Source organism: Homo sapiens, chromosome 2 (genome assembly GCF_000001405.40).
Source record: "Homo sapiens chromosome 2, GRCh38.p14 Primary Assembly".
In the NCBI taxonomy this organism is placed as follows: domain Eukaryota; kingdom Metazoa; phylum Chordata; class Mammalia; order Primates; family Hominidae; genus Homo; species Homo sapiens.
The window spans coordinates 75713679-75738732 of NC_000002.12; the positions used below are offsets into that span (position 1 = coordinate 75713679).

The 25054-nt window shown below is 40.2% G+C and overlaps 1 long non-coding RNA gene across 2 annotated transcripts in view, besides 2 other annotated features; it reads left to right on the forward strand.

The window, feature by feature from the left end:
- Positions 1–25054, forward strand: part of LOC105374813 (uncharacterized) — a 41322-nt gene that overhangs the window by 2904 nt on the left and 13364 nt on the right. The window contains exon 2 of one of the 2 annotated variants that reach the window (XR_007087116.1): positions 5351–6340. The exons of the other annotated variant lie outside the window; for it this stretch is intronic. This is a non-coding gene — a long non-coding RNA (uncharacterized LOC105374813). Of the gene's footprint in view, positions 1–5350; positions 6341–25054 lie in introns of those variants that run through there. 2 annotated transcript variants of the gene reach the window in all.
- Positions 10900–11400: an enhancer, noted in NCBI's record as "H3K4me1 hESC enhancer chr2:75951704-75952204 (GRCh37/hg19 assembly coordinates)". NCBI's record gives its function as "activates a minimal SCP1, AML or CMV promoter by ChIP-STARR-seq in naive and primed H9 embryonic stem cells {active_cell/tissue: H9 hESC(naive and primed)}" and the evidence as "EXISTENCE:reporter gene assay evidence [ECO:0000049][PMID:30033119]".
- Positions 20121–20621: an enhancer, noted in NCBI's record as "H3K4me1 hESC enhancer chr2:75960925-75961425 (GRCh37/hg19 assembly coordinates)". NCBI's record gives its function as "activates a minimal SCP1, AML or CMV promoter by ChIP-STARR-seq in primed H9 embryonic stem cells {active_cell/tissue: H9 hESC(primed)}" and the evidence as "EXISTENCE:reporter gene assay evidence [ECO:0000049][PMID:30033119]".

Sequence of the window (25054 nt, forward strand, 5' to 3'; positions counted from 1 at the left end):
TGGGACTACACGCGCATACCCCAATGCCCAGCTAAGACTAGCATTTTGAAACAGTGAGGAGAATGAGGAAGATGATCGTGATTGTAATTGGAGAGAAATTCAGTGTTCTGTTATGCACTCTTAAGGAAACATATTAATATATCGTACAATTCAATCAGTGTTTATTATACACCTACTAGCACAGGCACCATGCTAAGCCCTAGACTAATGCTTATCAAATCTAATGTTCTTCAAAGCACATGGAAATAGTGTGGACATATAGATACTGATTGAGCTGCTATGTGTAGGAACCAAGAGTCTTCATTTCTAGCAAGCTCCCAGGTGAAGGCGAGGATACTTGTCTGAGGATCACTCTAAATAGCAAGGTCCTAGAGCAGATACTAAGTATTAATCACCCTTAAGAAGGCTGGGCGCAGTGGCTCACGCCAGTAATCCCAGCACTTTGGGAGGCCGAGGTGGGCAGATCACGAGGTCAGGAGTTCAAGACCAGCATGACCAACATGGTGAAACCCCATCTCTACTAAAAATACAAAAATTAGCCGGGCGTGGTGGTGCATGCCTGTAATCCCAGCTACTTGGGAGGCTGAAGCAGAAGAATCACTTGAACCCAGGAGGCGGAGGTTGCAGTGAGCCGAGACCGCACCACTGTACTCCAGCCTGGTGACAGAGTGAGACTCCATCTCCAAAAAAAAAAAAGAAGTCTTAAAAAATAGTCTAAATAACTTAATCATTGATGAACTTCATATCAGATTGTAACAGCATGTAAATGTTAGGTACCTCAAAATTTAGAAACCTAAATAGCCCCCCAAAAGGAAAACTAATAAGAATCTATTCAAAGTGAGTAAGGTTATTTAAGTGTAGAAGTTGTTCACCATAAGGGGATATCTGTCTGCACCTCCTCAAAAAGGGTTCTCTGCCAGCTTCCAAAGTCATTTTAGGTGTTTGTTGCAATTGGAAAGGGGGTCAGCAGGACAGAATTCACTCCCAGTGTTGCTTAAAAGGCAGCAGTTTATTTAAGGACAATCTAAGTGTGATGTTGGTGTTCTAGAAGGCTGTTCTTTCCCTTCAAAAGTCACTAACTCACAAACGATGTTAAACCAAAATGTGAAAACGCTAGGCAGAGTTTACTGTTCTCGGCTGAGTTCAGAGCCATCTGCTAATGTGGACTCATTGTTTACTTTCCCATTTTAAAAGACACTGCCTCCCCAGACAGAGCCCTTCTTTTACTCATTTTGATATCCTATACCTAGTTTAGTGTTTAGTGCACAACTGACATGAACACAATGAACTAAATGGTTGGATGAGGCAATTCTGAAACATCTGTGTTCACTCACGAAAATAAAACTGGAAAACAAGTCACTCTAACTTGTTAAATGCAAACATGTTAAGAGATAGGTGATATATGATGGAGATAGAAAAAACTCTGCTATTTAAAACAGAAATCAAACATTTGTTCTAAGGGAAAGAAGTGAGAAAAATTATTTTCTCTGGGTGTTGCCTTGGTGGGAGAGGATGAAATAAAGATAACTTATTTAATAAAGGGGGAGGAATCCTGAGTTTTCTCCTCTGTCCCCAGGGAAAGCAGAGCGATGACTCTGAGGGATAGTTGCCAGATTTAGAAAAAATATAGAATACCTGGTAAAACTTGAAATTCAGATAAAACAGGAGTAGCTTTTTAGTATAAATAGGTCCTATATAATATTTGGGACATACATGCATGGTAGATTTTGGAACTCTAGGGTAAAGAGAAGTGTGAAGAATTTCAAAGGGTAGAGAAAAACTTCAGAATCTGAGGTGGAGGGTGGGGGATGGTTGTAGTCTGGAATCTGAGAGAAATGAGGGTCAGTGAGAAGTTCCCAGTTACATGGGAGAATCGGATGAAGTGCTTTTTAGATACAGTGCAGTTTTCTTCCAAGGATTTAGTAAAACTTTGCTCCAAATACAATCTTTTTTTTTTTTTTTTTTTTTTTTTTCAGACGGAGTCTCGCTTTGTTGCCCAGGCTGGAGTGCAGTAGCGCGATCTCAGCTCACTGCTACCTCCGCCTCCTGTGTTCAAGCGATTCTCCTGCTTCAGCCTCCTGAGTAGCTGGGATTACAGATGTCCGCCATCACGCCCTGCTAATTTTTGTATTTTAAGTAGAGACAGGGTTTTGCCATGTTGGCCAGGATGGTCTCAAACTGCTGACCTCAGGTGATCCGCCTGCCTCAGCCTCCAAAAGTGCTGGGGTTACAGGCATGAGCCACCGTGCCCAGCCTCCAAATCCAATCTTAACATTGCTGTTGAGATTGAAAGAGTTGGCAGCTGAGGTCAGGTGGTGGATGAGGAAAAGCTGGTGGCTCCACGATTCTGAGCTGAGGGTGTCAAAGGAGATGGAGTGGATGATAGGAGAGAAGCAGGCTACTGAACACGCTGGCTTAGGAGTGGCTGTGAGATAGCCCCTTTCCCCAAATGTACCCAAATGTACCCAAGAAGGTGCAACTTTAAAGTAGAAGATGCTCCACGGAGTTACCTATGGGCACAGGAAAAGGGCAAAGAGCAAAACTATATTTCTCCAAACAGCTTTTCCCGATACTCATATTTACCACTGCCTTATGTAATTTCTCATTTTCATGAATACTAGGATTTTTACCACCATCCTTCATCAAGCAGGTAGAGATAATGCCATATCTTTTTATTTGCCCTACTGTGTTTATTTACAATATTAGCTTATTAAGTAATTGGCTGATCATTATGAGAGTTTGTATTATTTCCCTTTTATGTCATTTAGAATTGCAGAGGTTAACAATGGGAAAAATTGGCATATTAAAAATTCCCAACTTCTGGAAATCAATGTCATATTTACCCAAACAGACTTTTCTCCCTAAAGTGAAGTGACATTTTATCCAGCGTGTCTTGCCATTTAATGGTGGATTCTGAGCTCCCTCTAGTGAGAAATGCGCTTCTTATAAACGGATTGTATCAAATAATCTCATGGAAATTGCCTCCTATAGAGCTGAGTAATGAATATATTTTCCTTTTAAGCCAGGCTCTTTAAAACTTTCTAAGAGGACAAAATTTTATGAAGTCATGTTTATAAGTCATTTTTTTAATTAAAAAATTACTATGGAAACACATTCATACAAATATGAAACTAACTGTGCTTTCATTTTTTCAGCATCTATTTTTTTAAGCACTTACTATGATAGGGGCCCTGCGCTGGGACCAGAAGGTCATGAAACACATGGGGTCCTGTTCCAAAGGTCAGGTGTGAGGAACCCACATTAGCCCTAGGATCTGGTTTATTGGAAATACTTTATGATATCCTGTAATCCCAAGTATTGAGAATTTTCTCAATTTTAGGTCCTAATTTTCATAATGAATAGAGGTCTTTGAGCTGTCACTCTTATGTGCCTGAACTAATCTATTGATTAACTGTCAGATACCCCAAGGACCATCAGAAAAACCTATTGATCAACCAAAGTCAAGTTTATAAGATTAACTACAGTAAGAGAGAACACCACCTTGACAGAATCTTATAAGTATCTGAAAATGAAAGAATAAGGCAGGGTATTTACAGAGTTTTAGGACCTAGGCTGGGCGATTTTGTTTTTGTTTTTGTTTTGAGACGGAGTCTCGCTCTGTTGCCCAGGCCGGACTGCACTGGCGCAATCTCGGCTCACTGCAAGCTCCGCCTCCCAGGTTCACGCCATTCTCCTGCCTCAGCCTCCCGAGTAGCTGGGACCACAGGCGCCCGCCACTGCGCCCGGCTAATTTTTTGTATTTTTAGTAGAGACGGGGTTTCACCTTGTTAGCCAGGATGATCTCGATCTCCTGACCTTGTGATCCACCCGCCTCAGCCTCCCAAAGTGCTGGGATTACAGGCGTGAGCCACCGCGCCCGGCCAGCTGGGCGATTTTTGAAAAAAATGTGTTTTACTGTGGTAAGAACACTTAATGTGAGGTCTATCCTCTTAACACATTTTCAAGTGTAAGATACAACATTGCCAACTATAAGGACAATGTTGTACAGTAGGTCTCCAGAACTTACTTATCTTGTACAATTGATACTTTATACCAGTTGATTAGTGATTTGTCGTTTTCCTCTTTCCCCAGCCCACAGAAACCACAATTCTACTCTCTGATTTTATGAGTCTGAATATTTTAGATACCCCATGTAAGTGGAAACACACAGTGTTTTTCCTTCTTGGTGGCTTATTTCACTTAGCATAATGTCCTCAAGGTTAATTCATGTTGTTGCATATTGCAGGATTTCTTTATTTTTTAAGGATGAATAATATTCCCTTCTCTCTATACAACACATTTCCTTCATCTGTTCATCCTTCACTTGACAAAACAGTACTGCTACTATGGAAAACAATATGAAGATTCCTCAAAAAATTAAAAGTAGAACTACCATGTGATCCAGCAGTCTCATTTCTGGGCATTTAGTCAACAGAATTGAAATCAGGACCTCTAAAAGATAATTGCACTCCAGTGTTCACTGCAGCACTACTCACAATAACTAAGATGGCATGGGTGATTTTCAGTTAGGTCTTGTAAGGAGGTCAAGGTGAAAGGAGTCATGTGAAATAAATCATGCTGTGCTAACCAACCACAAGCTATTCATGCAATGGAGATCAAGTTAAGGTCAAAATACATGGCAATTTATAGGCATTAAGAGGAACAATGTCAAAAAAGGTCAGTTTAGAGGGTGGTTATGAGTGCCTTTCTTCATTTTAAATCCCTTGCCTTTGAGATCTAGGAAAAATTCTAGAGTTTTCCTTCTATTCCAACCAATCAGCTTTCTAACAAATCCAGGCTTCTTTTCAGTGCCTCCACTAGGGTTTCTCATTTGAGGTACTGAATGAAAAACCTTTCACTCAATATGAAATGTAACACACATCCAGAAAAATGCACAAAACAAACATGTACAGTTCAAGAACTTATCATAAAGCAAATCCCTCCACAGCCACCAACAAAGTCGAGAAATAGAAGATTGCTAGCATCCCAGCACTCTCTTTTGTTCCCCTTTTCAATCATTTCACCCTCCCTGTCCCCAGAAGTAATCATTGTTCTGACTTTTACAGTAATCACTTCCTTGCTTTTTTAAAAATACAGTTTTACTGCAAGCACACATACTCAAACACTATGATGTAGCTTTGTCTGTTTTTGAACTTTTGAGATCATACCATCTGTATTGTTTTGTGCTTGGCTTTTTTTGGCTTAATATGTGTTTGTATTATAATTCCACATTGTTCTTCTGTGTAACTGTAGTCTACTATTATTGCTGCGTAACAGTCCACTGTATAGATATGCCACAGCTTATCTATCCTAATATCGTTGACATTTGGTTGTTTTTTTTTTTTTTCAGATGGAGTCTTGCTCTGTTGCCCAGGCTGGAGTGCAGTGGCATGATCTCAGCTCACTGCAACCTCTGCCTCCCAGGGTTCAAGCGATTCTCCTGTCTCAGCCTCCTGAGTAGCTGGGATTAGGTGTGCACCACCATGCCTGGCTAAGTTTTGTATTTTTAGTAGAGATGGGGTTTCACCATATTGGTTAGGCTGGTCTCAAACTCCTGACCTCAGGAGATCCACCTGCCTCAGCCTTCCAAAGTGCTGGGATTACAGGTGTGAGCCACCACGCTCAGCTGACATTTGGTTATTTTGATTTTTTTGTTATATTACAAATAATGTTATTAAAGCACTTGTGATACAAGTGTCTCTTTGGGTCATGGGCACACAATTCAGTTGGGTATAAACCTAAGAATGGAATCATTAGGTCATAGGGTAAGCATATCTTCAACTTCACTGGAAAATATCAGTTCCCAAAGTAGTAATTGCCTAAATTTACATTCTCATCAGCAGTGTATTAAAGTTTCCATGGCTCCTCATACTTGCTAACACTTGGTATTGTCAGCTGTCTTTGTTTTAGCCATCTGGGTGTATGTCCTTATTCTTTGAATACGAATTTCCTTGATTACTAATGAGGATAAACCCTTTTTCATTACATATATGTGAATACACATATACATAAATATATACAGTATACATACTGTATATGTGTATATGAAAACATATATATACATAAATATATATGTATATATACTGTACATATTAGGCTATCTGGAGTTCTTCTTTTCTGAATTGCCTGTTCAAGTCTCTTGCTCATTTTTCTATTGAGTTGTCTGTTTTTTCTTAATGGTGCATAGCTCTCCTGTATGTATTTTGTATTTAACTGATAGCTGTTTTGCAAATATATTCTCCCAGTTGTGGTTTGCTTTTTCACTCTATTAATGATTGTTTTTGGTAAAGAGAAATTCTTAAATGTTTAATGCTAATATAATAAAATCTATTTAACCTTTCTTTACCATTTGTGCTTTATGTGTCCCATTTGAGTAATTTTTCTCTACCCCAGGATAAGAAGATAATCTCTGTTATAAATATATAATATACTTACAATTTTTTTTGGTAAGAAGTGAGATGTCAGTCAAATTTTACTTTTTTAATATAGATATCCAAATGATCTGGTTTAGTTAAAATTATATTATGGAAATCTTCAAAACATATATACTAAGTAAAAAAAGAACAGTTTAATGAGCTTTCATCATTCAGCTTTGACAATTTTCATCTATGAACAATTTGTTTTATCTGTACTCCCATCCACTTCTCTCCTCACACATTATTTTGAAATAAATGACAGACATAATGTTTCATCCATGAATATTTCAGGCATCTTTTAAACATAAGAATATTTTAAAAAATGTAATCACAATACAATTATCACACTTAAAAAACAACTAGCAATAACCTTTAATATCATAAAATACTTAGTGTTCAAATTTCTGATTATCTTATAATCATATAATTTTTTACCTTTTGCTTGAATCAGGATCTAAACAAGGCCCCCAAATTGGGATTAGTTGGTATATCTTTCAAGCTTTTTTTATCCATAATAATCTTTTCACTCTTGCTCTTGCTTTCCCCACTTGCATTCTTGCAATACATCTGTTAAAAAAAAAAAAAGAAAAAAGCTAAAGACTTATTCCAGTCTTATTTTGGCTGATGTAATTCGTATGATGTCATTTCTAACATGCTTCTCTGTCTCCTATATTTTCTTTAAGCAGAGGCTTGCACAGATTCAGGTTCAACTTTTATGGCAAGAATACCTCATAGGAAGGGTTATTTTCTTCCATCTAGATGCACATAATATCTAGTTGTCTCTTTATGTGTGCATCTATATATGATGTTAGCTGCCACTAACACTTAATATCGAGATCTAATAATTCATTAGGGCTTGAAAAATGGTGATATTCTCATTCTATCATTCCTTTTTTATTTTTATTTTTTTAGAGACAGAGTCTCACTTTGTCACCCAGATGGAGTGCAGTAGTGTTACCATAGCTCACTGCAGCCTTGAGCTCCTGGGCTCAAGCAATTCTTCTTCTACCTGAACCTCCCAAGTAGCTGGGGCTTCAGGTGCATGCCACCATGACTCGCTAAATTTCTTTTTTTTTCTTTATGTAGAAATTGAGTCTTGTTTTGTAGCAATCCTCCCACCTCAGGCTCCCAAAACACTAGGATTACAGATGGGAGCCACAGCGCTGGCCCCTGGAAACTTTTTAAAAGAGAATTATCTCATCTAATATTGAGTCACTCAGTGGTATCATTTATGTAGGAAAGAGAGGATAAATGTTTATTCCTTTCCTTTTATCTAACAATTTTCAAAATAATAAAGTGCTTCATAGCATCCTGTAATAATGGCCAGTTAGTATTTCTCAAAAGTTTTATATGCACTTGTGCTTTAAAAATATTAGATGCATTTTGGATCACGGCAGTTAGTATTCTATTTGATAATCATGCTATCCCAACTTTGATCAATGTGAGCAAATAACATAAATCAATGCAAACTACTTAAACATAACAATACTTTTTTAAAAGGATGAATTATTGTAAGAATACAGAGTGTCTTCTGACTAAGAATGCAGATCTTGGGTAGGACTGAAACTGGAAATTGGACTTTTTCCATTTCTTGTCCTTGCATCTCTGCTTCATTCATCTCTCTGCCAACTGACTCTCTCAACTTCTTAGTTTTCATAGTGGGCAGAAGTGCTGCTGAATCTCACTCTATTCCATTCTAGCTTTACATTTTACTCAGAATCTCTATTACCTTATGATCTACAAGCTTCAGGAAAAATGAAAAGAATGCAGGGAATGCAGTTCTAAACTATAACTATCAAAGCTTGAAGGAACATCAAATACCCAGGTCCCAAATCATTACAATTAGCTTATATGAAAATAAGATCAGTTCTCTCTAGGAACCACAGGTTTTCTCCCTCTGAGTTAAAAACAGATTTGCCTTATGCATTGGGGCATTATTTCCAAGCCTAGATTCTAAGCTATTACAAGCAGGTGTGACTGACCATTACCAGGGATTCAGATGATGCCTACAGCTTTATCACTAACAAGCTGTATTTCTAAAACATCCTCCTAAGTGGACTCTCCATGATCAGAAACCCGGATATTTAGTCTTCTAAAGAAGGAATTAGGGAAAAATTGACTTTGAACTTTGATAGACTAGGTCTTACCTGGTAATGTTAACAACTGATATACCAGTAAAACTCCAAGGTGTTGATCCCAACGTAAAAAACAACCAACACATTTTTTTTTAGTGATTATTGTATGGCCACTCCATTCAGAGACCCTAAATTTAGGATTGTTATGTACAGAAGCCTCTGACTAGAGAAATAAATGGTTTACACACAAGGAGACAGAACATGTTGATGACTACAGAAAAAGCAGCTTCTACCCAAGTCAACAGACAAGATTAATTTCTGATTCTTCATCACCCATTTGCTTTTCCCTTACTATTAATATAAACCATTATTATATTTTTGTACCTTTTATGAACTAATTAAAAGAATTTTCAATATGATCTTCCTTATCATAATTCTATTACTTTTGACTCTACATAATCTTTGGCTATTTAAGAAAAAACAAAACTTCCTGATGTGTTTTTCTCACATTATAGCTATGGCTAGGAATTTAACTGTTTGCTGACAAAATTTAATAACTATTCCTTCCAACACTTCAAAAAGTAGATTATTTATAGGACCTTCCATAGCTTAAATTTCCCTCCCATCATTAATGACAACCTTTACTGAGTCCTATACAAATTAAACTTTGGCCTCCCATTAGCAAAATATTTTTGCTAAAGTTGTTACAGCTGTATCAGCAAAACAGCCTTTTAGAAAAGAGAACTAATACCATTCTTCTCACAATAGTCAGTTTGTTCTCTTCACAGACACACCAATCAGCTTTGCAGGAAATATTTAACTTCTTCTAAGGAATCTGCCCAATTTGAGGGACAAAACATCAGCCTTCTTCTATTGTTCTAAATTGTACTTACACTCTCAATAGAATCTGTACTTTCTAGAGTACTACCTATGTGAACACAAGGCTTATACTTGCCTGCCACACACTAACTTAACCTGTATATGCAGTATAATTGTTAGAGATTTTTTGATATTTTAAAAGTACCAGCAGATCATGTTTCCTTGAAAAGAATGCCCAGGAACCTCCAAAAAGAGGCAAGGATCCGTGGGGAAAGCCTGGTTTTCAGGGAGGGGAAGCACAGTCCCTCACCATCTCCCTTGGCAGGGGGAAGGAGCTCCCTTGGCTGCCTGCAGCTGCCAGGTGGGGTCTTGTTCCACCCTGTTTTTGCTTGCTCTCCGTGGGTCACGCCCGCCACCTAGTCAGTCCCAGTGAGAGAGCTTTGGTGCCTCAATTGAAGATGCAGAGTTCACTGGCAGTTTCCGTCCTTCTCGGTGGGAGCTGCAGAGCAGAGATGCCTCTATTCGGCTATCTTGGCTCCACCCGCTTTGGCTCCACGCCCCCGCCCTCATATCGGAATATACCCAAAGGAATATAAATCATTCTTTTTCTTTTTTTTGACACATTCCCTGTCACTCAGGTGGGAGTGCAGTGGCACGATCTCGGCTCACTGCAACCTCCATCTCCCAGGTTCAAGTGATTCTCCTGCCTCAGCCTCCTGAGTAACTGGGATTACAGGCATGTGCCACCACTTGCAGCTAATTTTTGTATTTTTAGTAGAGACGGAGTTTCACCATGTTGGCCAGCTGGTCTCAAACTCTTGACCTCGTGATCTGCCCGCCTCAATTGCAGACGTGAGCCACAGCACCCGGTGCCAATGGAATATAAATCATTTTATTACAAAGATACATGTATGTCAGTGTTCATTACAACACTATTCACAATAGCAAGGACGTGGAATCAACATAAATGCCCATCAATGATAAACTGGATAAATAAAATGTGGTACATATACACCATGGAATACTAGGCAGCCATAAAAGGAATGAGATCATGTCATTTGCAGGGACGTGGATGAAGCTGGAAGCCACTACCTTTAGTAAACTAAGGCAAGAACAGAAAACCAAACACCACATGTTCTCACTCATAAGTGGGAGCAGAAAAATGAGATCACATGGAGACAGGGAGGGGAACCACACACACTGGGGCCTGTCCAGGGGTGGGGTGGGGGAAGGAAGAGTATTAGGAAAAATAGCTAACACATGCTGGGCTTAATACCTAGGTGATGAGTTGATAGGGGCAGCAAACCACTGTGACACACATCTACCTATGTTACAAACCTCCACATCCTGCTCATGCACCCCAGAATTAAAAAAAAAAATTTAAAAAAGCAGCAAATACAGGCTATTTGGAAAAATTCCATGTAGGAAAAATTAACTCCCTCTTTATGTATACTACATGAGCTATAACTCCCACAGTAAAAAAACAAACAAAAACACTTTTGGAGAAGGATGCCAAAAACTTGTCTTTGAATCAAGAAAAACTTAAAAATTACACAACTTTCTCAATCTCCCTCTCCCTCTCCCTCTCCCTCTCCCTCTCCCTCTCCCCACGGTCTCCCTCTCCCTCTCTTTCCACGGTCTCCCTCTGATGCAGAGCCGAAGCTGGACTGTACTGCTGCCATCTCGGCTGACTGCAACCTCCCTGCCTGATTCTCCTGCCTCAGCCTGCCGAGTGCCTGCGATTGCAGGTGCGCGCCGCCACACCAGACTGGTTTTCGTATTTTTTTGGTGGAGACGGGGTTTCGCTGTGTTGGCCGGGCTGGTCTCCAGCTCCTAACCGCGGGTGATCCGCCAGCCTCAGCCTCCCGAGGTGCCGGGATTGCAGACGGAGTCTCGTTCACTCAGTGCTCAATGGTGCCCAGGCTGGAGTGCAGTGGCGTGAACCTCCACCTCCCAGCCACCTGCCTTGGCCTCCCAAAGTGCCGAGATTGCAGCCTCTGCCCGGCCGCCACGCCGTCTGGGAAGTGAGGAGTGTCTCTGCCTGGCCGCCCATCGTCTGGGATGTGAGGAGCCCCTCTGCCTGGCTGCCCAGTCTGGAAAGTGAGGAGCGTCTCTGCCCGGCCGCCATCCCATCTAGGAAGTGAGGAGTGCCTCTTCCCTGCCGCCATCCCATCTAGGAAGTGAGGAGCGTCTCTGCCCGGCCGCCCATCGTCTGAGATGTGGGGAGCGCCTCTGTCCCACCGCCCCGTCTGGGGTGTGAGGAGCGCCTCTGCCCGGCCACCACCCCATCTGGGAGGGGTACCCAGCAGCTCACTGAGAACGGGCCATGATGACAATGGCGGTTTTGTGGAATGGAAAGGGGGGAAAGGTGGGGAAAAGATTGAGAAATCGGATGGTTGCGGTGTCTGTGTAGAAAGAAGTAGACATGGGAGACTTTTCATTTTGTTCTGTACTAAGAAAAATTCTTCTGCCTTGGGATCCTGGTGATCGGTGACCTTACCCCCAACCCTGTGCTCTCTAAAACATGTGCTGTGTCCACTCAGGGTTAAATGGATTAAGGGCGGTGCAAGATATGCTTTGTTCAACAGATGCTTGAAGGCAGCATGCTCGTTAAGAGTCATCACCACTCCCTAATCTCAAGTACCCAGGGACACAAACACGGCGGAGGGCCGCAGGGTCCTCTGCCTAGGAAAACCAGAGACCTTTGTTCACTTGTTTATCTGCTGACCTTCCCTCCACTATTGTCCTATGACCCTGCCAAATCCCCCTCTGCGAGAAACACCCAAGAATGATCAATAAAAAATTAAAAAAAAAAAATTACACAACTTCTTCTTTAGAAGCCTGATAAAGCCATTTAAATTTAAATTTATTCACTGAAGTTATCATGAATAGTTACATAGCCTTTGAATTATTCTTAACAATCCAAGGAAAAATTTACTATAATAGATCACTTCTTGATGTGGTTATATATGTTAGAGGACAAGTAGAATAGTCCATGTCTAAGCTAAAATAAACATCTACCTCTCTAAAACAGATCCAGGTGAATTCTGGGATATATTTTCATCACCCTTATTTTATATTCTAGGCTTCTGTCTTTGAGACTTATTGTGAAGGTGAATAAGTAATCATATTTTTTAGGTTATTACTTTTTTGCAGTTGGCCAATATATCCTATTCAGACATCTAAATATGACTGCATAGCCATTGTCATGTAAGATGATTCAATTCATCCTATGACAGAAGGAGGAGTTAACCCTAATCCAATATGGACTCTGTTCTCTGAACGACTGTACTAGTCCATTCCAGCACTGTTTAAAGACATACCTGAGATTGGGTAATTTAAAAAGAGGTTTAATTAGCTCATGGTTCAGCAGGCTGTATAGGAAGCATGATGGTGGCATCTGGGTGGCTTCTGGGGAGGCCTCAGGAAACTTGAAACCCCTCAGGTGAAGGGGAAGCACACAGATCAGCTCACATGGCCATAGTAGGAGCAAGAGAGAGATGGGGGAGATGCCACACACTTTTAAATGACCAGATCTCACGAGAACTCAATCATTATTGTCATGACAGTACTAAGGTGGAAATCCACTCCCGTGATCCAATCACCTCCCATCAGGCCCCACCTCCAACACTGGGGATTACAATTCAACATGAGATCTGGGTGGAGACAGAGATCCAAACCATATCAACAACTTTCTGATCTTGATTAGCAAAATCTCAGCAATGGTAAAAATCTGAATATCAACAATATCATCTTCCTTTGGCAGGGGATTGAGAAAAATAATTGCTTCTGTTTTCTGATAGCATCCAATTTGGAGCAAATTCCTACATCCTTAACACCCACCGTCAATCATCTAAGACAAACTCAAATCCTAAAACCTTCCTACTGAGAGAGCCCAGGAGTAGTAAACCCAAGTTCCACAACTGCAGGTGCATTTGTAGTAGTCTTTGACTGGAGGGAATTGACAGATTGAGTGATGTAAAATTGCCATTGTTGTAAGCAAAAAATCGTTGCATATTGGCCATTTTATATGGTTCAACTTAATGCAACAAACATGGCCATTTTGAGGGTCTATCTCTGAGAGTCAGTGGTAATTCTAAGAGAAAAAGCCCTACTACTACATGTTGAGCATCCCTAGTCCAAATACCTGAAATCCAAAATGATCCAAAATCTAAAACCTTTAAAGTGGCAACATGATTCAACAAAAGGGAAATTCCACATGTGACTTCATGTGATGGAGCACAGTAAAAATGTAGACAAAACTTTGTTTCATGCACAAAATTATTTAAAATATTGTGTAAAGTTACCATCAGCCTATGTGTATACTGTGTGTATAAAACATAAATAAATTTCATGTTTAGACTTGGATCCTATCCCCAAAATATTTCATTATGTATGTGCAAGTATTCCAAAATCTGAAAAAAATCTAAATTTGAAAATCTTCTGGTCCCATGCATTTTGGATAAGGAACATTCAACTTATATTTCTACTACTAGATGATAGATAAGTTATCAAGAGTTAATAGGAAAATGTGGTAGAAACAGTAGATAGCTTTTAAATTAATGTTGTCTGGAGAGAAAGATAGGAAAGAATTAGATATTGGAGAGGCTTCAGAGGGTTTATATGCAAAGACAGAGATGAAAGTAAAAAAAAAAGGAGTTAAAAATACTGCAGAGAGTAAATACTGGAACCCCAGAAGCATGGAAAAGGTTGGAATTTAGTCCTCAAGGAAGAATAGCCCAGGAAATAATAACTGCAAACTCAAAGTAGACCTCCGATGTGCGAAGACTGTTCTAAAATCCTTGCAAGTTGAATCTTGAAAACATCATGTTAAGGGAAGGAAGCCAGTGACAAAAGAACAGAGAGTGCATGATTTCATTTATATGAAATATTCAGAATAGGTAAGTCTACAGAGGCAGAAAGTTGATTTGTGGTTGCCAGGAGCTTTGGGGAGGGAAGAATGGGGAGTGGCTGCTAATGGGTACAGGGTTTCTTTTTGGGGTGATAAAAATGTTCTAAATTTAGATTGTGATGATGGTTGTACAACTCTGTGAATATACTAAAAATCATTTAACTATATACATTAATTATGCAAATTGTATGTGAATTATGTATCAATAAAGATATTTTTAAAAAGCATTACAAATATGTGTTCAATTTATTAAATAATAACTCATTTAGTATTCACAAACACCCCATGAGGTCAGTGTTGTTATTCATATTTTATAGATTAAGAAATTGAAGGACTCTGAAGAAAGAAGGAAAGAAGCAAGAATAATACTGTAATTGAAATAAGAGAAAGTTAAGTACTATGATGTGGATAAAAATACTTTTTTTGGCTGGCCACTAATATATTGAGAGCTATTACTTCCATTTTAATGTTTTCTCTTAAAGTAGGTGAGGCTACATGTAGAGAATATGTGTGGGAAAGGGTGGTAGAAAATAACTAACTTTGGGAAAGTGGATAAGTTTCAAAAGAGCTAAGCTGGCCATGCACAATAAATAGATTTCTAAGAAGCACTGAAAAAACTATGAGGCTGCATACTACACATTTAAATGGCCCCAACACTCAGGGCTATGAGATATTCTTCAGTAATGCTTCGATGCCATGAGGTAGGAGAAAATGGCATAGATTTGATGGATTCATAGTTAGGGAATTTTTAAATAGGGACACTAGTTTGTTAAGAGTGCAATTAACAGAGCAGCGTGACGGAACAGGGAATCTAGACTTGATATGAAAGGAAGTGAGGCCCAGAGAGGGCTCCCAGACAGGGCAGTTAGGACAGGTGCAAGGAATGAAAGTGTGGCTGGTGAAGAGTGCAAGTAGCAGGAACAGGAGAGTGAGAGTGCTTAAAAGGGGGAAAGTCAATCACAGAAGCAGTAGTGTGCTGGTAAGCATTTAACAGCTGGCTCTCCGGGAGAAAAGCCCTGATTTGTAGGGCTTGCTACTTTCCATGGTAGTGGTACAGATACTATCACTCTAACCTAACCAGCAGGACCCTGCCACATGTCCTGGGCTGCACAGCTGCTAGAGGCCAGAGCAAGACTCCAGCTCTATGAAAGTTCAGATCCTCCTCTCTCTTCCTCCCAGCTTTGCCTCCCTTTTCAGAAATGCTCTCTCATCCCGTTTGCAGGTGCTTTGTGTTCAGGGGACTGAGCAAAGATCTGACTCAGGGCCCAGTGCACTCAAATACCATTGGTGTTACCACTTCTCCCAGAAAAAAAAAAAAAAAATCACTAGCGAGCCTGTGAAACCATGTTGCTGTCCCCTGGGGAATGGTTATGACTTACCGCCCAGTGGACATAAGTGGGTACTCAGGGGAAGATTATTAATTAGCTACTCCTTCAAACAACCTTAAAAAAAAATCTTTATTTCATGGGTGGTTGGGAGTGGGGGCAGATAGACAAAACACATTTCCTATTAACTAGATGTTATATTTACTTCCTGACACGGTTTGGATGTTTGCTCCCTCCAAATCTCATGTTGAAATGTGATTCCCCATGTTGCGGGCAGGGCCTAGTGGAAGGCGATTGTGTCATGGTTTGGTGGGGCAGGCAGGGGGGATCCCCTCATGAATGGCTTAGCATCATCCCCATGATGATAAGTGAGTTCTTGCTCAGTTATTTCTTACGAGATCTGGGACCTCTGCCTTTTCTTTTTCGCTCCTGTTCTCTCGCCATGTGACACTCCTGCTCCCCTTCACCTTCCACTATGGTTGTAAGTTCTCTGAGGCCCATACCAGAAGCAAAGCAGAAGCTGGAGCCATGCTTGTATAGCCTGCAGAACCATGAGCCGGTTAAACCTCTTTTCTTTATAAATTTCCTAATAGCAATGCAAAAAAATGGGCTAATACACTTCTTTGTATTAAAAATAAGTTGTCTAGTTTTGCTGAACCCCAGACAGTTTCTTGAGTTTAAATTTCATATGATAAAGTTAATCATTTGTTACCTGTCAGCTAGCTCTTATTGGTAGAATGTTAACTTACCTCTTGCGTATTTCTAAAGAATACTCAGCTACAGTCACTCAGAAAACAGTGGAAATTTGTTTTCGCAAAAAAATTTTTTCTTCCACATGAGGGCACTGTCTACTTTGGATTTGGCTTTGCCAGTTTTGTAAGAACATATTTCCCATTTTGCCCATTGATGTTGTGGCTCCATTTCTAAATCCGTTTAACCCCACTGCACCTATAAATGTCAGGATACAATTTTACACGGGAGCTGAGCATAGTGCAGTTCCTTGTTTGGTAGAGAAGGCGAAGTCAGTAGTACCTCTCTTCCAGCTTTTTTCTGCTGCTTAAAAGCAACCTGAACCTCCATTCTTAGCCAAGCAATGTTTGGTGGCCTGGCTTGGCATGGATGGTCAAAGTGCCATCCACAGACCCTGGCAGGGCTGGGGTGACTGGCAGTCTCTATGGGCAGCTTCAAGGCTCACCAGGTGAAGTGATAGCCAGAGTTTCTGGGGCCTTGCAGATTCCTGAATAGAGATATTCACTGCAAATAATGAGGCATATCTGATACCATGTTCACAACTTCCTGTGGCTACTGTTCTGGGCCACTTGATCCATCCATTCACCTAATTGCTGCAAAACCAGATGGCAGAGCATATACTCTAGTGGGTAGACCATTTCCTCCTAGGTCTACCTATGGATCTATGGATAGACATTTATCCTGCTGCAAGACTCAACACTCCCAAATGTTGTACTTCATCCTGGGTCCTGGTCACAGGAAGGGATGCTTCATGGAATTCTGGGTGGAAGATTCTTGCCTTCACGTTTAAGTGATGATGGATCCAGGCACCATATAGCTTTTTGACTCAAGATACATGTGCCAAGTCTCCAAGAAACTGGCTGCATTTGAGATCAGTTATCTCAGGAGGAGTCAGCTGCTATTGACACCTAGGCTGGCTGAAGCATGCCTTGAGAGGACCTGGCATGCCACAACAAAACATGCAGGCTATCTAACCCTGGAGCAGCCAGCTGGTGAGACGGGACCCTCACAGTGCTTTAGAAATATATTATTTGAATGTCTTATTCTCCTTTACCTGTCCACCTAAACTGCTGGCCAGGCATGTTCTATCCTGCAATCTAAAGTACTACAGGGCCAAGTAGAGAGTGAAACCCTGAAAAACCCTCCAGTCTGAGAATTTTGAAGCTTGGAGACACATACAACAGTGCTGTTCTGAGAACCAGAGCCCAAGGGCTGCCAGACTGGTCAGGGCCAAATGCTTAGGTGGGCTAGTCTCAGAGGTGGCAGACAATCTGTCCCTTATAAGTTCCCTTGCTCAGGCACTTTGACTGCACCGTGACATCACCTGAACAGCTATATCACACACACACACAAATGATCCAAAGGGGTTCTCTTGGCTTTATGCTCTATAGATCAAGTTTGAAAAACACCATTTCTGATATTTGCAGCAGAAAAAAGAAAAGACCCCTAAACCAAAAGAACTGCTGTGTCCTTTGACAAAATCCTTGAGATGGTTTTTGCCTTACAGAACATCCCTTTTCACATTCCTACTCGTGTCATGCTTTGGGAGTGATGAATATTTTCCTCAAAGGTGCCACACTTTATTGATTCTGCACCCATTCCCATTGGCATCCTGATAACACCCTATCTGTCCTCCCACATTGCCAATCCCCTTGGAATTGAATGCAGCTTCTCATCTGTGGCCTGATTTTGAAGGACATTGTACCGGACTCAACTCCTAAAGACAAACAGCAAATAAGACAAATCATTTGCGTATTTAGCCAGTCTACGTCAGGCAAAACATATTCATCAAATATTTATTATTTGTCAAAAAATGCTACCTGCAAATAGATCATGAATTAGCAAGACAAAGAGGTAGAGAAGACAGCTTTCAGGCAGAGGTAACAGCAAGAGCCCTTTGGTGGGAGAGGCATGGTGTGTTCAAGAAGTTAGGTGATACTCATTGTGGCTGGACTGAAGAGAGCTGGGGGAGAGTGAAATGATGTGATGCTGGAGAGGCAGGCCAGGGAGAATATCAGTGATCTTACAGGTCCTGTTAAGGGTTTTGGATTTTATTCTAAATATAGTAGGACTCAAAGGTAATATCCATTTTTATCATTTCTATTCACAATACTTTCTTACTACAATGGAATTTGTATCTGTGCTGGAAATGAAGAATGCTATTTTAAACACAATGAACTTCAACAACTACTGTTGGGCAATAGTATAATCTTGGGTAAGCTGTTTTTATAGTTGGTATAAGAAAACCACGATGATATACCGTGATGTGTTTTGGAGTTCAGGAATTGAAGCCTCCTCTGGACCTATTCTAGAAGGGTAAAGATAGGACAAAATGAGAGAATGAAATTGGTCTGCATAATAAACCAGAAGAGTTTATTAAGATGAATTATCTAGAAATGTAATTGATGCCTGAGGGGGCTTGCACATTTTTCAACTTTATAGATACCAATAAATTGCCTTTCAAAGTAGTTGTTCAAATTCACATGCCCATCTGCAGCATTTGAGAGTTCCTGTTGCTCCATGTTCTCACTGATCCCTGGAATCATCAAACTTTAAAATGTTACCAATCTTATGTTGTTATTGTTTTCATTTGTATTTGTCTGATCATTGGTAAAGCTGCACATTTACTCATATGTTTAGTAGTATTTACATTTCTTTTTTTGGTGTGTAATACTTTACTCTCATATTCTTTGTCCATTTTTCTGTTGGATGTTCCTATCTTTTTAAAAATTGATTTTTGGGTATTCCTATGTATTCAGACCTATTCATTTGTTAGCTTTATTATGACAAATAGCTTTTCTCAAGCCTGTGAATTATATTTTATTTGCTGTTTTCTGTTTTATGGAAGTCGTATTAGTCCGTTTTCATGCTGCTGATAAAAACATATCCGAGACTGGGAAGAAAAAGAGGTTGAAGTGGACTTATAGTTCCACATGGCTGGGGAGGCCTTAGAATCATGGAGAGAGGCGAAAGGCAGTTCCTACATGGCGGTGGCAAGAGAAAAATGAAGAGGAAGCAAAAGTGGAAACCCCTGATAAACCCATCAGATCTCATGAGACTTATTCACTATCACGAGAATAGAACAGGAAAGACTGGCCCCCATGATTCCATTACCTCCCCTGGGTCCCTCCCACAACACATGGGAATTCTGAGACACATTATGCAAGTTGAGATTTGAGTGGGGGCACAGCCAAACCATATAATTCCAACATTGGCCCCTCCAAATCTCATGTCCTCACGTTTCAAAACCAATCATGCCTTTCCAACTGTCCCCCAAAGTCTTAACTCATTTCAGCATTAACCCAAACGTCCGCAGTCCAAAGTTTCGTCTGAGACAAGGCAAGTCCCTTCCACCTATGAGCCTATAAAATCAAAAGCAAGTTGGTTGCTTCCTAGATACAATGGGGGTACAGGTATTGGGTAAAATAGCCATTCCAAATGGGAGAAATTGGCCAAAACAAAGAGGTTACAAGGCTCATGCAAGTTCAAAATCCAGCAGGGCAATCAAATTTTAAAGCTCTGAAATTATCTCCTTTGACTCCCTGTCTCACATCCAGGTGATGCTGTTGTAAGAGGTGGGTTCCCATGGTCTTGGGCAGCCCCGCCCCTGTGGCTTTGCAGGGTACAGCCTCCCTCCCGGCTGCTTTCATAGGCTGGCATTGAGTGTCTGTGGCTTTCCCAGGCACACAGTGCAAGCTGTTGGTGGAGTTACCATTCTGGGGTCTGGGGTCGGTGGCCTTCTTCTCACAGCTCCACTAGGCAGTGCCCCAGTAGGGACTCTGTGTGGGGGCTCCCACCCCACATTTCCCTTCTGCATTGCCGTAGCAGAGGTTCTCCATGAGGCCCTGCCCCTGCAGCAAACTTTTGCCTGGGCATCCAGGCATGTGGAAGATGCCAAGGCTTGGGGCTTCCACCCTCTGGAGCCATGGCCCAAGCTGTACATTGGACCCTTTCAGACACAGCTGGAGTGGCTAGGACACAGGGCATCAAGATCCTAGGCTGCACACGGCACAGGGACTCCTGGGCTTCTGTGCCTGTGATGGGAGGGGCTGCCGTGAAAGTCTCTGACATGGCCTGGAGATATTTTCTTCATGGTCTTGGGGATTAACATTAGGCTCCTCATTACTTATGCAAATTTCTGCAGCTGGCTTGAATTTCTCCTCAGAAAATGGGTTTTTCTTTTCTGTCCCATAGTCAGGCTACAAATTTTCCAAACTTTTATGCTCTGCTTCCCTTGTAAAACTGAATGCTGTTAACAGCACCCAAGTCACTTCTCGAATGCTTTGCTGCTTAGAAATTTCTTCTGCCAGATACTCTAAATCATCTTTCTCAAGTTTGAAGTTCCACAAATCTCTAGGGCAAGGGCAAAATGCTGCCAGTCTCTTTGCTAAAACATAACAAGAGTCACCTTTGCTCCAATTCCCAACAAGCTCCTTATCTCCATCTGAGACCACCTCAGCCTGGACCTTATTGTCCATATCACTACGAGCATTTTGGGCAAAGCTATTCAACAAGTATTTAGGGAGTTCCAAACTTTCCCAGATTTTTCTATCTTCTTCTGAGCGCCCCAAACTGTTCCAACCTCTGCTTGTTACACAGTTCCAAAGTTGCTTTCACATTTTTGGGTATCTTTTCAGCAATGCCCCACTCTACTGGTACCAATTTACAGTATTATTCAGTTTTCATGCTGCTGATAAATACATACCTGAGACTGGGAAGAAAAAGAGGTTTAATTGGACTTCCAGTTCCACACGGCTGGGGAGGCCTCAGCATCATGGTGGGAGGTAAAAGGCACTTCCTACATGACGGTAGCAAGGGTCCCTCCCACAATGCATGGGAATCCTAGGAGATACAATTCAAGTTGAGATTTGAATGGGGACACAGCCAAACCATATCAGAAGTTTTATATTTTAATTGGTAAAATGTATCAATGTTTACCTGACGTGAACAGCTTTGTGCTTTTTGGAATCTTATTTAAAATTTTTGCTTAAGAAACCCTACCAAAAAGTCATATTTTCTTTTTAAAGTTTTATTTCTCATATTTAGTTCTTTAAACCATTTGAAGTATATTTTGTGTAGGGTTTAAAGGCAGAGTCTAATTCAGCTATTTTTAATTATGGACATCCAGTTGTCCTAGCACCATAGATTGAATGGGGCATTCTTTATTTTTTTAATTTTGTTTGTTTATTTATAACATGATGAATATTACCCAACCCAAGAACTAGATCACTAACAATAATTTAATCTACCTGTGTATTATTCCTTGAACAGGACACTCTTGCTTTCTGCTTTGCAATACTATGTCTGTCATGTTCTCCATATTGTTTCTCTGGCCTATTTGTCTATCTTTGGACCAATGTCACACAGTCTCATTACTAGATCTTTAAAATAAATCTTAATATCTGGTGGAGCAAGTTCTTATCTTGTTTTCAAATTGTCTTGGATATTCTTAACCTTTAGCTTTTTCATATGAATTTCATGTAGTATTTTGTTTAGAATGTTTCCATTTTTGTTTTGAGTGAAATTGGTCTACACATTGTTTTTTTTCCTGCACTATTCTTGTCTGGTTTGGTATCAGGGATTTTAAAGCCTCATTCAATAATGTGAACAGCGTTTCCTCTTCTTCTATTATATGAAATATTTTGTCTAAAATAGGAATTAGTTCTGCATTGTACAATATGGTAGGCACAAATAGATCTCCATTTGGCTGTTCCTCAGTTGTAGTCTTTATAATAAACCAGTAATAGTAAGTAAAGTGCTTTCTTGAATTCTGTGAGCTATTATAGCAAATTTTCAAACCTGAGGAGGGAGTCGTGGGAACTGGTTGGTCAGAAGTATGGGTGACAGACTTGTGATGGACATCTGAAATTCGGGCGGTATTGTGAGACTGAGCCCTTAACCTGAGATGTCTGCACTGACTCTGGGTAGTTAGAATCAGAATTACATTGAATTGTGGGACATGAAGTTGGTGTCTGGAGAGCTGTAGAAGTGGTTGGTTGGTGTGAAAAGAAAAAAAAACTGACACATTTGGTGTTAGAAATGTTGTGAGTCAAAACAGCACAGAATTGCTATACTAGCCTTCTTCTGGTTAGTATTAGCTACTATGCCTACCAGCTTCCCTGCCTTTTATTCCCTATTTCCTTTTAAGTTTTAATTTTTTATCATGGTAATAGTCAAGTACTTGCTATTACTTTATGAGGCTTGTTATAAAAAACTAGTAACCCCTGTTCCTCTCCCCCAGATGAAACAACTTTAACTTCTTTTAGACAATTCTTTTATTATTAACCTCCATCTCTATAGTATGCTTCTATTGCTGCCTTTCCATCTTTTAATAGAATTATCTATTAACTTCCCACTATGGAGTAATAATAGCAAACACATGTAGAACACTTACTTCGTGCCAGGCACTTCTCTGTGTGCTTTACATATATTACTCATAAAATCCTCAAAGCAACCCTATGAGGGGATCTGGGGAACTGCTTCTTAAACACTTTCAGACAATCTGTCTATTTGCAGTATAATTTTTATTATTTTACCCCATTCCAGAGATCCCTGGTGCCACCGAATCCTAAGCCTTTTGAGTCTGCAATGTAAATCATAGTTCTTTCTTGCTTTCCTCACTACCTGCTAAGTCAATTACCAAGAATCCACTTGCTTTACAGCTTTCGATGTTTTATAGCTAACGTTTCTTTTACCATTGTCTTTTTTTAAAAAATAGATTTAGGCCTTAAAAACATTAGCTGCCATTTTAATGAGATTTCAAAATGAATCATAAGTAAATTTATGTGTTCTGTTTGTCATTCTTAACCTGCAAGTCTGGTATAGCTTTCCATTCATTTATTTTCAACCTCTATGTGTTGTCTTTATTTAGGTATATGTCTTGGATTTAAAGTTGAATTAAAAATTAATATACTTCGGCCAATTAAAATGAGCATTTAATCCGTTTATATGTATTGTGAATTATTTCTACCATTTTATTTTATGTTTTCTTTTTATCATCCTTTTTCATTGCTCTGTTTCCCCTCGTATATTGGGATGTGAAGATTTCCATATTCACTCCCTGGTTTTTCACTCTGGAAATTTGGAAGCTACAGATTGTATTTTTTAGGCTATTAGTGGTATTCTTAAACATCTGACATACAGTTATTCAATATCTCTATCCAACTCCTAAGCAAGACAATGGCTCTATCAGTAGTCTCTTTATCATTGAACCCCTTCTTTTTGTTGTCTAGAGTTTGTGTCACATTTTTAAACATAAAAATTATATTTTTAGACATTTATATATTTGATAATTACATTTATCATCAAATTTATTTATAAATTTATAATTTTATTATAAATTTATTTATTTATAATAAATTTATAAATTGATAATAAATTACATTTATTATCAAAAATTTATATATTTGATAATTACATTTATTAATACATTTTATAATTTCAGCACCACCATTGTTTTTGTATTCTATGCAATCTCTGTAGTTATACTCTTCTTTTTACTAAAGCATTCTTAATTGGTTCCTTCAATGACAGTTTGTGGATTGTGAACTCCTAAAATCTTTGTTTAGAGAAAGTCTTTATTTTCCTTCATTTTGAATTCAGTATAGATGTATTTTCCTTCCTTCCTTTTTTTTCATTTTTTTAAACAAGTATTACAGCTGTAGCTGACTTGGAATGGGTCATGAGAGCCAATTATGCTTATCGCTTACCAATTCCATGTTCAGTGACCTATCAGTTGAAATTGGTTGCGATAGGACTACATATACCATGAGATCAGCAAATTCTATAAATCATGGTTTTGTTTTGCTTTTGTTTATGGGAGCTCGTCATTAAACATTTATCGGCACACCATTGCTTATTAGGTACCTATAATATGCCAGGCACTGTTTTAGGTGTGACAATACATCAGGGAAGAAAATGGATAAAAATCCTTGCCTGAGAGTGATGTCAGCAACGTGGCTGACCAGAGATGCCTGGTGTTTGTCCTGCTCACAAGACAGGACCAAGGCAGTAAATAAACAGCCAAGATTTGATTGGAGTGTTGAAGGGAGAGCTCTGGAGTGCAGTGGGAGAGTGGAGATGTGCCTGCAGTAATTGGAAATCCAGAAGGACAGTGTGGAGGCACCCAGTTTCTGCAGCCTCATCTCCCCTGCCCAAATCAGATCTGCTTTGAGTCAGAAGGGACTTTTCATTGCAGGGGGAAGGTAAGCAGAAGATACACACCATTTCCCATTGCCACCACAAAGACCTACAGTTCTTGTTACAGAAGAATCCCAGAGTCCTTATAAGCCTTGAGCCCAGTTTGCAGAGCTGATGGGCATTGCCCTACACTAGGAGCACAAAGTCTATACTTCCCACCTCCCACCCGCCCACTGCAAACCAAGCTGCTGTAGCATGGTTCCATCTTGAGGACAAAGCCACCTCTGGAGTGTACCCTACTGTGAGGCGTGAGGACCAATAGCCACTGCACCTCTCCAGCATTAGGGCTTTATCATCATTATGCCAAACCCACACAGGTGGCTGAATGCCACAACCCCAGCTGTGTGAAGCCTGGTCTCAGAATCAGCTGTGACCCCGGTCCTGCAAAGTAGGGAAACCAACTCCCACTACTGCAGCTCCAGCCTGAGGAACAGCCTGGCAATCCTACCCAGAGCAAACCTGAATTTGAGCTGACCAAACCACTGTGTGTTCTCCCACTCAAGCAGGAGATGTCCCAAGCCTCTGAGGAGCTGGCAAGGCCCCGGGCCAGAGAAGTGG